General features: G+C 46.4%; 1 pseudogene, besides 2 other annotated features; it reads left to right on the forward strand.

Annotated features, from left to right (window-relative positions):
* RNU6-572P (RNA, U6 small nuclear 572, pseudogene) lies at positions 1,716–1,795 on the forward strand (annotated as a pseudogene).
* Positions 3,587–4,433: an enhancer, noted in NCBI's record as "H3K27ac-H3K4me1 hESC enhancer chr5:138559318-138560164 (GRCh37/hg19 assembly coordinates)". NCBI's record gives its function as "activates a minimal SCP1, AML or CMV promoter by ChIP-STARR-seq in primed H9 embryonic stem cells {active_cell/tissue: H9 hESC(primed)}" and the evidence as "EXISTENCE:reporter gene assay evidence [ECO:0000049][PMID:30033119]".
* Positions 11,808–12,307: an enhancer, noted in NCBI's record as "H3K27ac hESC enhancer chr5:138567539-138568038 (GRCh37/hg19 assembly coordinates)". NCBI's record gives its function as "activates a minimal SCP1, AML or CMV promoter by ChIP-STARR-seq in primed H9 embryonic stem cells {active_cell/tissue: H9 hESC(primed)}" and the evidence as "EXISTENCE:reporter gene assay evidence [ECO:0000049][PMID:30033119]".

The raw sequence follows: 13,859 nt of genomic DNA on the forward strand, positions 1-13,859 counted from the left end.
GGCTGGTCTCAAAATCCTGACCTCGTGATCCCCCTGCCTCGGCCTCCCAAAGTGCTGGGATTACAGGCCATGAGCCACCGTGCCCAGACTTTGTTTTTTGGGTTTGTTTGTTTTTTTTTAATTTTTTTTTTAGATGGAGTCTCGCTCTTGTTGCCCAGACTGGAGTGCAATGGCACGATCTCCACCTCCCAGGTTCAAGTGATTCTCCTGCCTCAGCCTCCCGAGTAGCTGGGATTACAGGCACCTGCCACCATGCCCAGCTTTTTATTTATTTATTTATTTATTTATTTATTTATTTTATTTTTATTTTTAGTAGAGAGGGGGTTTCACCATGTTGGCCAGGCTGGTCTTCAGCTCCTGACCTCAGGTGATCCACCTGTTTTGGCCTCCCAAAGTGCTGGGATTACAGGCATGAGCCACCATGCCCAGCCTTTTGTTACTTTTTTTTTTTTTTTTTGAGACAGGGTTTTGCTTTGTTGCCTGGACTGCAGTGTAGTGATTCAATCATAGCTTACTGCTGTCTTGAACTCCTGGGTTTAAGCAATTATCCCACTTTAACCTCCCGAGTAGCTAGGACTACAGGTACACACAACCATGTTCAGGTAATTTAAGAAAAAAACTTTTTTTTTTTTTGTAAAGATGGCAGTCTCACTCTGTTGTCTCACTGTGATGGAGACTCTGAGTCTCCAACTCCTGGCCTCAAGTGATCCTCCCACCTCGGCCTCCCAAAGGGCTGGGATTACAGGTGTGAGCCACTGCATCCAGCCTCACTTTCTTATAAAACTAAACTTACACCTATCCTATGAAGGGCAAATCCACTCTTAGATATTTTACCCAAGAAAAATAAAAACATATGTCCACAAAAAGACATGCATGAGAATGTCCATAACAACTTTTTAAAAATATAGATAGGAGTCTTGCTTTGATGCACATGCTGGTCTCAAACACCTGGCTTCAAGCAATCCTCCCACTTCAGCCTCTCAAGGTGCAGGGATTACAGGTGTGAGCCACCCTGTCCAGCCCATAGCAACTTTATTTACAACAGCTAAAACTGGACACAACCTCAAATGATCGTAACAGGAGGACAAAACAAATTGTACACAGGGGACAATCTATTATAAGGATTACCAGCCAGATGTGGTGGCTCATGCCTGTAATCCCAGCAGTTAGGAAGTCTGAGGCAGGAGGATCATTTGAGGCCATGAGCCTGAGACCAGCCCTGACTCTACAAAAAAAATTTTAAATAGACAGGTGTGGTGGCACACAACTGTAGTCCTAGCTACTCAGGAGGCTGAGGTGAGAGGATTGGTTGAGCCCAAGAGTTCAAGGCTGCAGTGAGCTATGATTGTGCCACTGCACTCATTTGAGCAACAGAGCAAGACCCTGTCTCTTAAAAACAAAACAAAACAAAACAAAAAGCCAGGCACAGTGGCTCACATCTGTAATCCCAACACTTTGGGAGGCCGAGGCAGGCAGATCCCGAGGGCAAGAGATCGAGACCATCCTGGCTAACATGGTGAAACACTGTCTCTACTAAAAATACAAAAATTAGCTGGATGTGGTGGCGGGCGCCTGTAGTCCCAGCTACTCAGGAGGCTGAGGCAGGAGAATCGTTTGAGCCTGGGAGGCAAAGGTTGCAGTGAGCCGAGATCTCACCACTGCACTCTGGTCTGGCGACAGAGCGGGACTCCGTCTCAAAAAAAAAAAGAAAGAAAGAAAATTAGAAAGGTACAGAGAGATTAGCATGGTCCCTGAGCAAGGATGACAGCAAATTTGTGAAGCATTCTATATTTTTAAGAAAAGATTACTAAGTAGCATTGAAGGCCTGATCACAACTGAAAATCAGACATTGGAGCTAGTGAACATAGTTTCGTGGTTTTTTCTAGTAGCCTGGAGGCAAGAGGCAGAAACAGAGAAAACGAACCTTGTCTTATCTTCTTGTGGAAATTAGAGTAGGAGGGACAAAATGACCAGAGGCAAAGGAACTGGAGGTAGTAGTGAGAATGGAGGGAAAATGACTCTATTTGTCCAAGAGCAGTTTAGAAACATACTGTCTGGAGCGTCCCTTGTTCTGTTCCCCACACTTCTGTGCTTCATGCCTCCACCTGGACTCAAAGGTAAGAAAATCAGCTAATCCTCTTTGTATACTGGGACTCAGGCTTAAAGGAGAGAAGGTAGTAGAAGCCACAGTTCGTGTTAAAAGGAGGCTCAGCAACAGATCCAGGGCAAGGCAGGGGTGCCCCTGAGATGTTGCTCTAATCTGGGAATGCCAGGAAGGGTAGGGGCAAATCCTGACTTTGTGTGGCCACCGAGGAGGAGGATGCTGCTCTGAGGGTTTGAGGAGCTGTCATCTGTGATGTGTGGCAACTCACGGCCTGAAAAATTAATTGGGCTGCTCCAGACAGGAAATAAAATGAAAATTCTGTCCAAGCAGGTGTCCTACTAACTCAGCAGGAAGCTGGGAACTGATTTGCATGTTCCAACATCCTCTTCTCTCTCCCTTCTCTGTAGTCACAGCTGGTTTTACGCTGCTCTCCAGGGAGGGGCATCAGAGATGTACAGTCTTACAGAGCTGGGAAAGAGGCTTCCTTGGGAGAGAAGTCCAGGAAAAGAGAATGGAAATGGTTGTACCATTACAACTCTAACTTCACTTCCTCTCTGTCCCTGCAGGCTCAGTAGAAGGAAAAAGAAATAAACTAACACTTGTGAAAGGGCTACTTCATGTTTGGGCATGGTGGCTCATGCCTGTAATCCTAGCACATCGGGGTCCTAGGTGGGTGGATCACTTGAGGTCAGGAGTTCGAGACCAGCCTGGCCAACATGGTGAAACCCTGTCTCTACCAAAAATACAAAAATTAGCTGGGTGTGGTGGCGGGTGCCTGTAATCCCACATACTTGGGAGGCTGAGGCAGGAGAATCGCTTGAACCTGGGAGGCAGAAGTCGCAGTGAGCTGGGATGGCACCACTGCACTCCAGCCCGGACAACAGAGCAAGACTCCATCTCAAAAAAAAAAAAAAAAAAAAAAGGTCTACTTTGTGTCTAGCCCTATGCTAAAGACTTTCACATTAATCTTCCCAACAACTCTGCAAGCCCAAAATCATACTCATTCTTACACATAAGGAAAATGGAGTTTGGGGGAGCAGAAATATCACACAGCTAGCAAGGGGCAGGCCAGGGACCCAACACAGGGCAGTCTCACTCAAACTCTGAACTTTTTCTACTCTAGTAAGCTCAGTCATGTTTTCTGTGTGTATTAAAGATTAATTGACCCTATGGTTAGTGTAGGCACTGCACACAGTTTGTTGAGCACTGACGTGTGGGAGAGGGCTCAACTGCCCAATTCTCAGGGCACCTAGGGACACACAGACCAATGACTGAGACTGTTATTCACCAATAATAATAACAACATCAACAATGAGATCCACCATTTCTTGAGATTTTACTAAGTGGTGAGCAACTTTTTAAGTGCTTTATATGTATTATCTAATATATTCTCACCATAACCCTGAGAGGGAGCCAACAATTATTCTTTCAAGAATCCATGGAACATCTGAGAAAACTGATCACATGCTAGGCCTGAAAGCACATCTCATCAGAAACCAAAAAATCAATTTGTTAGCAGCCGAACATATCTGAGTCACAAGTCACATGGCACCAGAGTATATTACCAGTGGCGAATCTGTATGGGTCTGCAGCAATGTTGATTCTTGCCTCCTCAGAGGAAATAATTTGACCAAGGGGCATAAGACAGAAGGAGAGACCGAGGCAAGTTTTAGAGCAGGAGTGGAAGTTTATTACAAAACTTTAGAGCAGGAATGAAACTAAGTAAAATAGCCTCTCCCTCTCCCTCTCCCTCTCTTTCCACAGTCTCCCTCTGATGCTGAGCCGAAGCTGGACTGTACTGCTGCCATCTCGGCTCACTGCAGCCTCCCTGCCTGATTCTCCTGCCTCAGCCTGCCAAGTGCCTGCGATTGCAGGCGTGCGCTGCCACGCCTGACTGGTTTTCATATTTTTTTGGTGGAGACGGGGTTTCGCTGTGTTGGCCGGGCTGGTCTCCAGCTCCTAACGGCGAGTGATCCGCCAGCCTCGGCCTCCCGAGGTGCGGGATTGCAGACGGAGTCTGGTTCACTCAGTGCTCAATAGTGCCCAGGCTGGAGTGCAGTGGCGTGATCTCGGCTCGCTACAACCTCCACCTCCCAGCAGCCTGCCTTGGCCTCCCAAAGTGCCGAGAGTGCAGCCTCTGCCCGGCCGCTACCCCGTCCGGGAAGTGAGGAGTGTCTCTGCCTGGCTGCCCATCGTCTGGGACGTGAGGAGCCCCTCTGCCTGGCTGCCCAGTCTGGAAAGTGAGAAGCGTCTCTGCCCGGCCGCCATCCCATCTAGGAAGTGAGGAGCGTCTCTGTCCGGCCGCCCATCATCTGAGATGTGGGGAGTGCCTCTGCCCTGCCGCCCTGTCTGGGATGTGAGGAGCGCCTCTGCCCGGCCGTGACCCCATCTGGGAGGTGAGGAGCGTCTCTGCCCAGCTGCCCCGTCTGAGAAGTGAGGAGACCCTCCGCCTGGCAACCGCCCCGTCTAAGAAGTGAGGAGCCCCTCCGCCCGGCAGCCACCCCGTCCGGGAGGGAGGTGGGGGGGTCAGCCCCCCGCCCGGCCAGCCGCCCCGTCCGGGAGGTGAGGGGCGCCTCTGCCCCGCCGCCCCTACTGGGAAGTGAGGAGCCCCTCTGCCCGGCCACCACCCCGTCTGGGAGGTGTACCCAACAGCTCATTGAGAACGGGCCATGATGACAATGGCGCTTTTGTGGAGTGGAAAGGGGGGAAAGGTGGGGAAAAGATTGAGAAATCGGATGGTTGCCGTGTCTGTGTAGAAAGAAGTAGACATTGGAGACTTTTCATTTTGTTCTGTACTGAGAAAAATTCTTCTGCCTTGGGATCCTGTTGATCTGTGACCTTACCCCCAACCCTGTGCTCTCTGAAACATGTGCTGTGTCCACTCAGGGTTAAATGGATTAAGGGCGGTGCAAGATGTGCTTTGTTAAACAGATGCTTGAAGGCAGCATGCTCGTTAAGAGTCATCACCGGCCGGGCGCGGTGGCTCACGCCTGTAATCCCAGCACTTTGGGAGGCTGAGGCAGGCGGATCACAAGGTCAGGAGATCGAGACCATCCCGGCTAAAACGGTGAAAACCCGTCTCTACTAAAAATACAAAAAATTAGCCGGGCGTAGTGGCCGGCGCCTGTAGTCCCAGCTACTTGGGAGGCTGAGGCAGGAGAATGGCGTGAACCCGGGAGGCGGAGGTTGCAGTGAGCCGAGATCCCGCCACTGCACTCCAGCCTGGGTGACAGAGCGAGACTCCGTCTCAAAAAAAAAAAAAAAGAGTCATCACCACTCCCTGATCAGGGACACAAACACTGTGGAGGGCCCCAGGGTCCTCTGCCTAGGAAAACCAGAGACCTTTGTTCACTTGTTTATCTGCTGACCTTCCCTCCACTATTGTCCTATGACCCTGCCAAATCCCCCTCTGCGAGAAACACCCAAGAATGATCAATAAAAAAAAAAATAAATAAATAAATAAAAATACATTTGGCACTGGGTGTGGGGGCTCACGCCTGTAATCCCAGCACTTTGGGAGGCAGAGGTGGGCAGATCACCTGAGGTCAGGAGTTCAAGACCAGCCTGGCCAACATGGTGAAACCCTGTCTCTACTAAAAATACAAAAACTAGCTGATCATGGTGATGTGCGCCTGTAATCCCAGCTACCTGGGAGGCTGAGACACGAGAATCGCTTGAACCCGGGAGGCAGAGGTTGCAGTGAGCCAATATTTGAGACTCTTTCTCAAAAAAAAAACACAAAGGAAGTAAAGTACACTTGAGAGATCACATGCATGGGTTTTATATGTTGCCATACTTGTAGGGTCTTGAGTTATTTCTCCTCTGATTCTTCCCTTGGGGCCTTGGGGTGGGCTGTCCGCGTGAGCAGTGGACTGCTAGCACTTGGGAAGGGAGCATATGCAGTGTGCTTACTGGAGTCATAGCATGCTCACTTGAGGCGTTCTTCCCTTACCAGTCTAGCATCTCTAGAGCAAGGTCATATACCAGTTAAACTCCACCATTTTGCCTCTTAAACTGCATTCTTGGGCCCCCTCGCTCAACTCCTGAGATCTTACCAGAAAGCCGCTGATAGCAGTTTCAAGTGTTTTCTATATATTAGGAGACTGCCTTTCCCTGGCACTGGCTGTCACCAACTATTTGTTTAGAGAGACAGTTAACAACTGCCTAACCATCACCTGATGGTCACCTGGCATTCCTGTTGTATGAGAGCAGCCCTCTCCTGCCCTGCTTATGCCTGACTAAGCTACCTATTGTAACAAATTGACCACTTTCTCTAATCAAAATAGAATTCAAGGCCAGGCACAGTGGCTCATGCCTGTAATCCCAGCTCTTTGGGAAGCTGGGGTGGGGGAATCATGAGCCCAGGAGTTTGAGACCAGCCAGGGCAACATAGTGAGACCTCATCTCTACAAAAAATAAAAAATCCTTCATCAGCTTAGGGAGATAAGATAAATAAATAAAAATAAAAATTAATTAATTAAAAATAAAAAAATTTAGCTGGGTATGGTGGCACATGCCTGTGATCCCAGCTACTCAGGAGGCTGAGGTGGGAGGATTGCTTGAGCCCAGGAGGTCAAGACTGCAGTGAGCTGTGATCACGCCACTGCACTCTATTCTGGGTGACAGAATGACACACCATTTCAAAAAAAGCAAAAAGAAACACAACAAAATAGAACTCAATGACAGAAAGATAACAACAGCCCCATGCATTTGGAAACATTTCTAGAATTATGGGATAAAAAATAAATCAAAATGCAGATATTTCTAAATAAAAAATAGCCATAGAAGACAAACTTGTATTTAAAGGGAAATGTATGGCTTTAAATGCTCATATGAGAAAAGCAAGCTGGGTGCGGTGGCTCACTGCTGTAATCCCAGCACTTTGGGAGGCTGAGGCAGGCGGATCACCTGAGGTCAGGAGTTCGAAACCAGCTTGGCTAGCCTGAGGAAACCCTGTCTCTACTAAAAATACAAAAATTAGCCGGGTGTGGTAGCATGCACCTGTAATCCCAGCTACTTGGGAGGCTGAGGCAGGAGAATTGCTAGAAGCAGAAGTTGCAGTGAGCTGAGATTGCGCCATTGTACTCCAACTGGGTGACAGAGTGAAACTCCATCTCATAAATAAATAAATAAATAAATAAATAAATAAATAAATATACAGAAATTAGCTGGGCATGGTGGCGGGCACCTGTAATCCCAGCTACTCAGGAGGCTAAGGCAGGAGAATAGCTTGAACCCGGGAGGCAAAGGTTGCAGTGAGCCAAGATTGCACCATTGCACTCTAGCCTGAGCGACAAGAGCAGAAAAAAACATAGAAATACTATAGAGAATCAACAAAATTTTTTTGACAAGCTCAGTCAAGAAAAAGGCATAGATAAACAATATCAAAACATTTAAAAGGGCTGGGCGCGGTGGCTCATGCCTGTAATCCCAGCATTTTGGAAGGCTGAATGAAGCAGGCAGACTACCTGAGGTTGGGAGTTCCAGACCAGCCTGACCAACATGGCGAAACCTCGTCTCTACTAAAAATACAAAAATTAGCCAGGCATGGTGACTGGCCCCTGTAATTCCAGCTACTTGGGAGGCTGAGACATGAGAATAGCTTGAACCCGGGAGGCGGAGGTTGCAGCGAGCTGAGATCACGCCACTGCACTCCAGCCTGGACAACAGAGCAAGGCTCCATCTCCAAAAAAAAAAAAAAAAAAAAAAAAACATTTAAAAGAAGATATAGCTGTATAGCAGAAAATTTAAAGTCATAAGAGAACACTGTAAAAAAATATTTTAAAGCAATAAGTTTGAAAATTTTGGTGAAACGGGTAATTTTCCTTAAAATGGAAAAAAAATCCTGTAATGGAGATGTTATTATTTCTTTTCCACAGATAAGAAAACTGAGAAGCAGAGAAATAACTTGGTCAGATTCCCATAGCTAGTAAGAGACAGAGTCTAGATTTGAAGGCCCAAGCAGTGGACTTCTGATTCATCTTCCCTCTTTCCCTCCCACAAACATTTACACTGAGTACCTACTAGACACCAGTCATTGTGCTAGGGATTACAGGGATAAAAGACAAAATTCTTGCCCTCTGGAAGCTCCCAGCCTAGGAGACAAGACTGGGCCAAGACTAGGATAAGTAAAGCACCCAGGGCACAAGATTTAAAGATGTGTTCATTCTCACTTGCAAAACAACTTAAATTTTGTGCCCTTGCCCTGGCTCTCCTAATAAGCATAACCACAACTGCAAAAATACATGCTTTCAACAACTTGAAGCCAGTAAGACTTCTGAGCTCCAGATGTGAGGAAAGGGCATTCTAGGCAGGGAGACTAGTACGAGCAAAGGACAGAGCAGAGAAGCAGCATGATCCCTGATGGGAACTACAAGCAGTTTGGTATTTCTGAGGCACACAAATCAATGCAAGGTGGAGAATGGCAAGAAGAGAGGGTGGAGGAGTGGCCAAGGTCCAGGTCATCACAGGCACTTTATATCATGCTAAGGAGCTTAGACTTTACCCTAAGGGTTTAAGCAAGGGAGTGACACAGGCATAACAGTATTTTACAATAATTCTTCTGGCAGGAATGTAGATGGTGGTGGGGATGGAAACATGGCAGAAAGTGGACAGATGAGTTACATGGCTGCAGAAGCATCCAGGCAAGAGAGGAAGAGAGCCTGCAGCAGGGCAATAGTAGTTGAAATGAAGAAAAGGAAATGGGTTTGAGAAATATTTGAGATGCAAAATTGGCAGGACTTAGTGGTTGATTGGATGTGGGAGGTGAAAGTGTGGAAGGAATTATGAATGAGGCCCCTCATCACCTAGTTTTCACCTGAATAACTAGAGAGTATAGTAGTGGCAGCAACATCCATCCATCTGTTTCTCAATTCATTCATACACCCAATAATGTGTCCATCTGGTTAGTATTAATTCATTCATTTGTCCATTCATACATCCATGTATCCATCTATCAATACAACTATACTTTGATCAAATTCTTATAACATCATGAAGAATGCATATGTAAAAAGGCACAATACTTGGCCTTACTAATTTATTCATTCATTCACTAAGCTTTTATTGATATCCTCCTGTGTGCCAGATACTATTCTAGGTAATGAAGATATAGCAGTGAACAAGCAGAAAAGGTCCTGATTTTAAAGGCCTAATGTTCTAGTGGGAGATACAGATAGAATGCAAAGAAATAACAATTTATTTTTTTTTTAGATACAGAGTTTCACTCTTGTTGCCCAGGCTGAAGTGCAGTGGCACTATCTTGGCTCACTGCAACCTCTGCCTCCTGGGTTCACTGCAACGTCTGCCTCCTGGATTCAAGCGATTCTCCTGCCTCAGCCTCCTGAGTAGCTGGGATTACAGGTGTCTGCCACCACACCCAGCTAATTTTTTGTATTTCTAGTAGAGGTGGGGTTTCACCAGGTTGGCCAGGCTGGTCTCGAACTCCTGACCTCAGGTGATCCACCCGCCTCGGCCTCCCAAAGTGCTGGAATTACAGGCGTGAGCCACTGCACCTGGCCAGAAATAACAATTTTAGATATGAAACATCTTTGTAATAAAATAAACCAGGCTCCTTGGAAATATGGCTGATTTTAGGTTGGGGCAGGAAATATATAATGTGAGCCTGGAGAATCTTGTAGTATCAGAAGGAAAGGAAGGGTTCAGACAAAAACACATGTTGGGAGTGTGTCAAAGAGACATAGGAACCAACTGAAAGAACTACCAGTGACCAAAATTGGAACCATTTGAGCAACAAAACGAAGCATTATTGGATTAAAACCCAAAGTACAAAATAAATATTCATAAGTATATACTGATGTAAATTAATTAACTGAATAAACAAAAGGCAAAGAGAAAAATCTTTCTTGCAGAATTCCAAATAATTTATTTAGACACTTATCCCTCAAGGACGTGGATTACAACTCCCCACTCCTTCAGTGTAGGCTGTGAATAGAAACTTCATTCCAAAGAGTATAGGATGGGAAGAGGGAGATAAAGGACTAAATTTATAGTGTTGAAACCTGGCAAACGTAAGCTTAGGTGATCAAGCTTAAAATCAATAGTAATAAGTCATGTTGCTTGATATGATGTGATGAGAATGTCACTTTATTTCTGTGGTCTTCCTTCCAAAACTCCATAACCCTAATCATGAGAAAAACTTAGATAAATCCCAGTCAAAGCACGTTCTACAAAATATTTGACCAATACTCCTCCCAAGTGTTAAGATCATCAAAAATGGAAAAAGTCTGACTGCCGGGCACAGTGGCTCACACCTGTAATCCCAGCACTTTGGGAGGCCAAGGCGAGTGGATTGCTTGAGACCAGGAGTTCGAGACTAGCCTGGACAACATGGTGAAGTCCTGTCTCTACAAAAAATACAAAAATTCATGGGTATGATCATGCACACCTGTAGTCCCAGCTACTTGAGAGGCTCGAGGTTCAGTGAGCCGTGATTGCACCACTGCACTCCAGCCTGGGTGACAGGGTGAAACCTCATCTCAAAAAAAAAAAAAGAAAAGAAAAAAAAGTGGCTCAGAGCATGTGAGGAACGTGGGGGTCTGCAAAATTTATCAGGCACAGAGAGAGACATGAGCCTGAGACTCAGTTACATCCCCCAACCCATGGCTGGTGGAAATTGTTTAAAGGTATTTTGTTTTTCTTCTTCCCTTTAGCTTCAGGTTAGCTGATAAATTATCTAAAATGTTGCCACAAGTTGCACAATGTGATCCTCACTCATTATTTTCACGTTCCTGGAATTTGTGATACAAAGAACAATTATAGCCAATCGATAGCTTATGTTATTTTAATGAACCAATAAGTTATTGGTAAACAATTTAGGAACTATCCTCTCCCTTCTTTTTTCTTTTTAACCTCTTAAAAACTCTCTTGTAATTGCTGCTAATTAGAGCATATATTCAGGGCAACTGGAACCTATGACTCTGGGCTATGGTTTTCAACCTTGGTCTAAATAAATTATCTATATTAACTTTGCTTCATTTTATTCTTTTAGGTCAACAGTGCCATATTAATGTAAGATGATAATAGAGGGGGAAACTAGGTGTGCAGTGTGTAGGAACTCTATACTGTCTTTCCAACTTTCCTGTAAATCTAAAACTATTCTAAAATTAAAAGTTTGCCGAGGTGCAATAGCTCACACCTGTAATTCCTCACTATGCCAGGCCAATGAGGGAGTGTTACAGTCTCCCCAGTGCACCACAATGTAGCGGTCTCTTGTTGTGAGGTATCACCTGGAGTTCTTTGTCTGATAACCAAGAGAAATAAGGAGAACGGACACAAAGGGTGAGGTTGGAGCAAAAGTTTAACAAGCAAAAGAAGGCCGGGCGCGGTGGCTCACGCCTGTAATCCCAGCACTTTGGGAGGCCGAGGCGGGCGGATCACGAGGTCAGGAGATCGAGACCATCCTGGCTAACAAGGTGAAACCCCGTCTCTACTAAAAATACAAAAAATTAGCCGGGCGTGGTAGCGGGCGCCTGTAGTCCCAGCTACTCGGGAGGCTGAGGCAGGAGAATGGCGTGAACCCGGGAGGCGGAGCTTGCAGTGAGCCGAGATCGCGCCACTGCACTCCAGCCTGGGCGACAGAGCGAGACTCCGTCTCAAAAAAAAAAAAAAAAAACAAGCAAAAGAAGAAGGCTTGGCCGGGCATGGTGGCTCACGCCTGTAATCCCAGCACTTCGGGAGGCCAAGGTGGGTGGATCACCTGAGGTGGGGAGTTCAAGACCAGCCTGACCAACATGGAGAAAAGCTGTCTCTACTAAAAATACAAAATTAGCCGGGCGTGGTGGTGCATGCCTGTAATCCCACCTGTAATCCCAGCTACTCAGGAGGCTGAGGCAGGAGAATCGCTTGAACCTGGGAGGCGGAGGTTGCGGTGAGCCGAGATCACGCCATTGCACTCCAGCCTGGGCAACAAGAGTGAAACTCGGTCTCAAAAAAAAAAAGAAAGAAAGAAAGCTCTCAAGAGGAGAGGGGACCCAGAAGAGGGTTGCTGTATTTACAGTTGAATGCAAAAGCTTTTATAAGAAACAGATGAGGGCTTGGCATCTCATTTGCAAGTGGCACGAATTTCTGGTAGCTCCACCCCATCCTCCGAGTGCACATGTGGGCCCTTAGCTTGAGTTACTCTATATTGCTTTTTTTCCCCTTACTGTGCATGTGTCAGAGGACAGAATTTTGCATTGTGGGCAGGTGTGGGCAAGTCTCCTGTGTAGCCTTTCTTATCTATGCGGCTGGGCATGTGTGGGCAAGTCTCCTGTGTAGCCTTTCTTATCTATGTAGCTGTGGGAATGTCTTAGACAAGCGCCTCTGTGCAAGCTCTCTTATCTGTGTCTGCAGGGTGTTCTTTTGTTTTGAAGAATTCAACCAAGGACCCACCCTAACTGCCTGCCTGACCAGCTTCTTTCTTTCTCCTCTCTCAGGAGGATCCCTTAAGGCCAGGAGTTAGAGACCAGCCTGGGCCTGGGCAATACAGTGAGACCCATCTCAAAAAAAAAAAAAAAAAAAAAAGGCCAGGCACAGTGGCTCACGCCTGTAATCTCAGCACTTTGGGAGGCCAAGGCGGGCAGATCACGAGGTCAGGAGATGGAGACCATCCTGGTTAACATGGTGAAACCCCGTCTCTACTAAAAATACAAAAAAATTAGCTGGGTGTGGTGGCGGGCGCCTGTAGTCCCAGCTACTCAGGGGGCTGAGGCAGGAGAATGGCGTGATCCCGGGAGGTGGAGAGCTTGCAGTGAGCTGAGATTGCACCACTGTACTCCGGCCTGGGTGACAGAGTGAGACTCCGTCTCAAAAAAGAAAAAAAATTAGCTGGAAGTGGTGGTGCATGCCTATAGTCCCAGTTACTCAGGAGGATCACTCGAGCCCAAGAGTTCAAGGCTGCAGTGAGCTATGATCCTGTCTCTGCACTCCAGGCTGGGTGAAAGAGCAAGACCCTGTCTCATAAGTAAATAAATAAGGTTTTTAAATTTTTTTTAATTTTCAAAATTTATTTAAAATTTATTATTTTTTTCACAACCCATATGCTATGGAATATGTTTTTTAAATTAATAATTTTTTTCGAGATGGAGTCTCGCTCTGTCACCCAGGCTGGAGTGCAGTGGCAGGATCTTGGCTCACTGCAACCTCCACCTCCCAGGTTCAAGCAATTCTCCTGTCTCAGCCTCCCAAGTAGCTGGGACTACAGGCACCTGCCACCACGCCCGGCTAGTTGTTGTATTTTTAGTAGAGATAGGGTTTCACCATGTTGGCTAGGCTGGTCTCGAACTCCTGACCTCAAGTGATCCACCCTTCTCGGCCTCCAAAAGTCCTGGGATTACAGGTGTAAGCCACTGCGCCCAGCCCAAGTTTATTTTTTAAAAAGTGCTTTGAAGGCTAGGCACGGTGGCTCACGCCTGTAATCCCAGCACTTTGGGAGGCCGAGGCAGGTGGATCACTTGAGGTCAAGAGTTTGAGCCCAGCCTGGCCAACATAGTGAAACCCTGTCTCTACTAAAAATACAAAAATAGCTAGAAGTGGTGGCAAATGCCTGTGATCCCAGCTACTTAGGAAGCTGACATACAAGAATCACTTGAACTCAGGAGGCAGAGGTTGCAGTGAGCCAAGATCGTGCCACTGCATTCCAGCCTACGTGGCAGAGGGAGACTCTGTCTCAAAAAAAAAAAAAAAAAAAAGAAGTGCTTTGAAGAAAAATAAAGCCAGGTATGGGATAGCAAGTGCTGGAATGGTGCCTACCTTA

The sequence above is a fragment of the Homo sapiens genome, chromosome 5 (genome assembly GCF_000001405.40).
Source record: "Homo sapiens chromosome 5, GRCh38.p14 Primary Assembly".
In the NCBI taxonomy this organism is placed as follows: domain Eukaryota; kingdom Metazoa; phylum Chordata; class Mammalia; order Primates; family Hominidae; genus Homo; species Homo sapiens.